Genomic DNA, 6,597 nt, shown 5'->3' on the forward strand with positions numbered 1-6,597 from the left:
GAGAGGAAAAGGTAGATCAATTAATGAAGATTAGTGCTTCCAACTGGTTGTTGTAGTAGAATGTGAGGGTGGTAACTTTTGAGAGACCAGCCAGTAGTCATAGTGGCAAGCAAAGATGATCTTAGCTGAGGTGAAGAGAAGGAAAGAAAAGACAGAGAAAATAGGGAACTTGTAACAAGGAGGAGGCTTAGATAAACACTATAATACTTACCATAGTTGATTAGCAATGTACCAATGAGGAATTTAATATAGTCAGTAGAAATGAAGGGAGATTAGGAAATGTGAATGCATACAGAATAGTAACGGTCTCCCTGTAAATGTGAAAAAGCAATTTTCTGTGATAACTATAAACATGATAGTGATGATGATGTTGACAATTAAAATAACGGTGACTGTTAAGAAGATAGAAGGGCAAAATTTGACCACCAGAATAAAATCAAGAGCCAAATATGGGCCACTGAGGTAAACAGAATGGTTATTCTAGAATTCTTATTAAATATTAGCATATTTCTCTGTTTTCCTTGCTGCCCTGCATTGGCAAGGGAAAAAGAAGTGCATAAGTATAATTTTTCTTATTGGAAAGAATTTTTCCTGTATACTTTCAAGTCAGTAAAATATTGCATGTCTATTCCATATTCCTGATGGGCTTTGAAAGATGTCATAATGGGCATATATATAAGAAGGAAAAATGGATGTAAGCTAGAAAAGATAACCACCAGAAATGATTCAGACTTAGACTCTGTAATTGAGAGACATTCTTAGAAACTACAGGGAAAAAATAGCTTTTCTGATGTGTTGAAGCACAAGTGTATAAACAAAGTCATGAGTCAGAGTTGTCAATTGAATTTTATCTATAAGATCCATAGAGACGTGTTTCAGATCTTGTCAAAACATACATTTAATGAAAATCCTCAATTCAGATAAAAACACAAGCTATATCCATTCACAATTACCTGGTTCTGAAACCATGGTAAATGTTGATTCTATATCAAGAGATGAACCTCTTTCCCCACTTAGGTGATTTGTCTCATTTTCAGTTGATTTATCATGGTGTTATTCCATCATCCTATCAGATATTCTTCTGTCAGTATTATTGTATCTTGAAAATGCACTTTAAACATTAGGCTTTTAATGAAATGTTCAAATCTGGGCAAAATGCATTAGTTCCATTTCTTTCTTTTTGAAACAAAGCCTTTATCTATTTTAATGAAATTTTCTTTGAAAATAAAATTAACTTAGCGTTACATCCTAGTTTTCATCCCAATGTGAATAAATACATTTCACTAAAACATTCTTTTTGGGATAGAATCTAGAGTAGATAATGCCAGGAGATAATTATTCATTCCACTTCTTTGTGCCTGCCATGCACACTATTTTTTTCCCACATCTAGAGACCTAAGTTAGAAAGTGTAATGTGTGACATTAAAACCTACATTTGCCTGAAATATGTTTTTCTGCAATTTCCAAAGAGCTAGCAGTTCAAGAGGTGTTTCAAGTATCATAGATCCACTTCCATGAAACCAGAGGTTTTCAGATTTTGCCCCTGGAAAATGATCATGTCTGTAGTCAAGTGGAGCTAAAGTTCAAATGTTGTGAATACCAACCCCTGTAGAAGGTGCTTGAGCACAAGCGTCCACCAGGGACACTTGGAAAGGGTGCTTCTTTAAGTTAGTGACAATGCAACCCCAGCATCGCCATTTCTTTGATCAGCCTGGTTGGCATCAGACATTACTATGGAACCTGAGAAAGAAGACCAAAATGCTTGCAAGTATCAGAAGCATTGTGCCTGAGTGCAGAAAGTAGCAGAAGCCTACAGGCACCTGAAAAAGTAACTTCATGGCCATGCTGACATTGTGGTTTTATTAGGAAATACAGACAGTAATTGGTTCAATTATAAATCACCTTGGAAGTGATTATGGAATTATCTGGATTATCTGCTTGACAGTTACCTTCCTCACAGAAGAATTCTTATTCTCCCTTAATTCTAGGTCTCCCTTAATTAATCAAGAGGCCTGAGGTAAATCACTCTTTAATGGCTGAGATGAAAAAAAGCCCTAATGGCACTAAGCCCACATTGAAAAATATGAGAGTCATTATTAAAAAGTATACAGAAAAAAAGAGTTTTCAGGTGTCTACGAATGTCAAGTATGAGTCAGAGTTGTCAATTATAAAACTTTTAAAATGATAAGAATACAGCATATGATTTTTTGAGACATTATCTTTTAATTATGAAAGCAGTCATTTTAAAATGGCCTAGAACTAAGCCCAATTCCAAGACAGTTGACACTCCCATTAGGGCAATTACTCTTGGCTAAATACATAGGCTATAGTTATCAGTGGGAACCATTCATTGAAGAAATTAAAGGACAACTAAGGGAGAATAGAAAGAAGGAAAGGAAGAATAGATTTATTTTAGGACAAATTATTATAAAATTACCTTGCAAAGTACATATAGCATGGGGGACTATGTATATATTAGTATGTCTATATATATGCACAAATGTTGTGTTTGTATATGCAATAGAATGTCCCTAAAAGATACACAAAAGAGTGGAAATATCAGGTGCTTCTGAGAAAGGTGACTGGATGCCAGGGAGATGGGTAGGAAGAAAAGTTACTTTTCTCTGCATGCTTCTTGAATGCTCATCATTATATGTATTTCCAATTCAAAAGGGTAATTAATTGTTAAGCACTTCTAGAGAGGTAAAGCTCAAGGAAGCGCCTCTCTTGGGTAGTATGGTCCATGGTGGCAGATTAGAGTCAGTGTCACTCTTACTTTAAGTGCAGTAACATGCACGTGGCCTGATTTCAATAGTACCCAAGCCCTTGAAAGAAATCCCTTGTCCAATAACTATTCTAACCTAGCTTGCTATTATAATGGCTAAAATTACAGCACTGTTGCTTCTGTTCTTGGATTAAAGATTTTATTTCATATTAAAACTACTTGATGGAAATGACAGTAAGCCCAATTAGTATTTTACTCCATAATTTGAATGAGAGTATTTGGTTGTAGTCTGGCACTGGGGAAGAATATTGATGGTGCAAGGCATTATAAAACAAGGCATTATAAAACATTATCAATAAGGAAATAAAATATTGTTTCCTTATTGAAAGGAAAGGCTGGGAGTAACAAAGGGAAACATATATGATAGTTTCATTCAGAGACAATATTGATGAAGATTTTTGAACATCAAAAATCACTGGCTGTGTCACAATTTATTATACAAATGTGTTGGTTGGTGTTCATACAGCTTTTGTGTGCTGTATGAACACCAAACAACACATTTGTATATACTAGGCTCCTACTATGGACCCACAAGGTTTTTCAGGGATTTGAAGTGGCATCAAGAGGGCATCTACAGCATTCTAATGCACCCTGGTAAAGCATATTGCAATAAGTTTGTCAGCATGTCTTTCATTCCATGGTGACAGGGTAGTATAGTGGAAAGAGCCCTGAACTTGGATCTAGAAGACCTAGGTTCAAGTTCTGGTTCAGCCATTTTTGAGAAAAGATGTCTTCACCTATCTGTGCCTCAGGTTTTCTTCTGCCTTTACCTACCTCACTTGGGTTGTACTGAGGATCAAATGATATCATGAGCATGAATTATTTGTTTTCAACTGTTACTATTATACAGATAATTTGAGTTATTATTGCAATTCCACCATTTTTCTTTCATAGCCAACACTTACTGTGTATTGTGAAAACAGCTGCTTGATTTTCTAAATGGAAAGAAACAAGTTAGAGAAATTCGGGCATCTTAGATTCCTACCAGAGTAACCATAATGTAGAGGTCATAAGCCTCAGTTGGTTTTCCTTATATTAGTTCAGTGGGGAAATTTCCAACCTGAAACGGCTATTTCATATTCCTAAATATAAAACAATGAGGGAGCCATTTGTGGGAAGGAATTATCTTTACCCATTCAAATCCCATCTCTGATTATTTTCTTGGACTCATTTTAAAAAATAAACCAAATAAGAGAAATAGAACAAATTTAACTTAGTCCTATAAAGGAGGACCTTAAATTTAACTGAAGATAATATGACTGCCATTTCTGATGTATTTTCTTGTCCAGTTACTATAGTTGCAAGGTTCACTGCACAATAGTACTGAGATGATTTCCTATTTTAGAATTAGTATTTAAAAGAGAGCATTTGGTCTCACAACATGGCAGGTTAAGCGTACCAGAAATGGAAGCCCATAATTTAGTCTTTGAGAAAGTACTGCATTGCTCCTTGGTTGATTCTGGGCGACCCCATATCCTTAATTTTCATTATTGAATGAACTTAAATATTTTATCCTTAGTTTATAGACCTTGCTGGTCCTCCACATCCTGAAGGATAATTCAGTCAATTTTGCTGATAATCTGAGACTTAAATGGCATCAATATTCAGGTCTCTTGGTGCTCAATGAATGGACAGTATAATGTGTTCAGTTGGGGCAGTTAGGTTTAGAGTGAGAAAAAAAATAAGTCATTAGTTTGTTCTTGATGGTGTTGGATATTTTTCTTGGTGTGTTGCTCAGACACTGTGGAACAGGGTCTTAAAAATGTAACTATGTTTGACGAAGCCTCAATAACAAGGTCTTTGGAAGCATTCTGGGCTCCCTTTGGAATTAACGCCTAGGATGCTGTCCTGACTGTTGTATGAAGCGTTTGCTCATTGATTTCTTTCCTGAGAGAGCTACTCTGCACACTTATGACTGACTACAGACACTTTCAGCCATGCAGAAGCCACTAAAGGGAGCATATGAGCAAAAGGCATAGGCCTCAAATGGATATTCTAATGTGTGCAGTACATGTAAGAACAAAGTCACCAGGTTACTCACTTGGAGTCTAGTTTGGCCAGCCAACCAAAGTGGTTATGAGGTAAATACAAGAGAGAAGCTGGACCCTTTCTTTGACTCATGCTATGGTTTGTGTATCCACCATTCCATTATTAATATGATACACCAAATAGTGGCTCTGTATACTCATCCAAAGGGCAAAATAAATTCTGGATTCAGTAAAAGTATGAAAAGTCCATAGGCAATTATCATTTGAGAAAAGGCATCTTCACCTATCTGTGAAGTATATATATGACTGGATAAGTCTTGTTTTCTATTTTTTCTTTTTTTCTGATGATGGTGGAACATATTTTCTTGTGGGGAAGAAAAGCCACACTTGCCTATGCACTGTCAAAGCAATAGAATAAATTTGTGGCAAGGGAGCATAAATGTAGGCACAAAGAATTACATGTAATGGTTTTACATCTTTATAGTTGAGTCTAAAAACACAGTTAATTTGTTAATTATTTTAATAAATAATTAGTGACTAGTCACCATGTGCCAGGTACCATTGTTAGGTGCTAAGTATAGAGTGGTAAATAGAAATTTAAGCTTTTAAATGTCAGTTCTTACTATTACTATCTCACTTAAATAAAAACTGGAATATAATTTGTAGGTTGAATGCTTATTATCCAGGATATTTGCAGGAAAGAGACCACACATTTCAATGGTGTGAGAGAAAAAAACAACCCTTAAAGGGAGAGTGTAGTATTCTGGGACTATCAACAGAACTGAAGAAGCAAGGGAGGGAGTGATTACCAGAACCTGGTGAAGGCAGCTATACAGAAGGGTCACCTAATGAAACCTGTGGAGGAATGTAGTCAATTTGTGCTATCCTAGCAGGAAGTAAGCCTGGGAATAAATATCCAGACCTTGCCCTCCTCCTGTTTTCCATTCTCCTGTGGAAGCCTTTCATTAGCCAGATTCAACTAACAGTCAGAGAGCAAGGGAGCCCATTGATACAAACCCTGAAGGACAGTTTCCTAGGGTACAGAGAATAGAAGAGAAGAGAGGGGTTGGGGTGGGGAAATGGAAGACAACCAGCACAAATGTCAACTTAAGAGCAAACTCACCCCTTACCATTCAGGTGGTTGAGCAGACATCTCCAACACTGATGACAAATTTAGTAAGCCTTCTTTGATCAGTCTGGAGACCATTTGGATATATTATCCCAATAGATAAGTGCTATCCCCAAAAGCAGAGAAGAGAGAGAAATATAGTGTAATGTGATTGTTCTGTCTCCTAAATAGAAAACAGGAAGAGGTGCAATAAATGGATTGGAGTATACGTGTGTGCGAGAGAAAGAGAAAGAAGGACGGAACTGGGGAGGGTGCAAGGTGGGGAGGAAAGGGAGGGGGCACTAGAAATAAAGGGAGAGAGACAGGAAGAGACAGAGGGGAGAGAAAGAGAGAAAGGAAAAAGAGAGCAAGGGATAGAGAGAGACGCGGAGGGAGAAAAAAAAAGAGAGATCTTCCTGTGGAGCTTACGAAAATAATTAATACAGTTTCCTTTCTGTCTGATTTAACATATTTGCTAATATTAATGTGCTTGTCCCTACAGTAATTCCCTCCAGGCTCCCCATGCTGGGATGTGTTGTGGGTTTGGATTTGAGCAGAAGATTTAATGCCAAGTCTCTCTGGGGAAGCATTTTTGAGATAAATTCTTTCCCTTCATGCTCTTCTGCTCTGCATAGACCTTGAGAAAGGGTGTTAGAAGAAAAGATTGGGTAAGGGGTTAAAAAGGCATGAAGACCAGGGGCAGAGTAGTGTGCATT

The 6,597-nt window shown here is 36.9% G+C and overlaps 1 protein-coding gene across 7 annotated transcripts in view; it reads left to right on the plus strand.

The window, feature by feature from the left end:
* Nucleotides 1–6,597, plus strand: part of GLRA2 (glycine receptor alpha 2) — a 283,034-nt gene that overhangs the window by 85,941 nt on the left and 190,496 nt on the right. The gene's annotated exons all lie outside the window — the stretch shown is intronic.

This window comes from Homo sapiens, chromosome X (genome assembly GCF_000001405.40).
Source record: "Homo sapiens chromosome X, GRCh38.p14 Primary Assembly".
NCBI classification, from domain to species: Eukaryota; Metazoa; Chordata; class Mammalia; order Primates; family Hominidae; genus Homo; species Homo sapiens.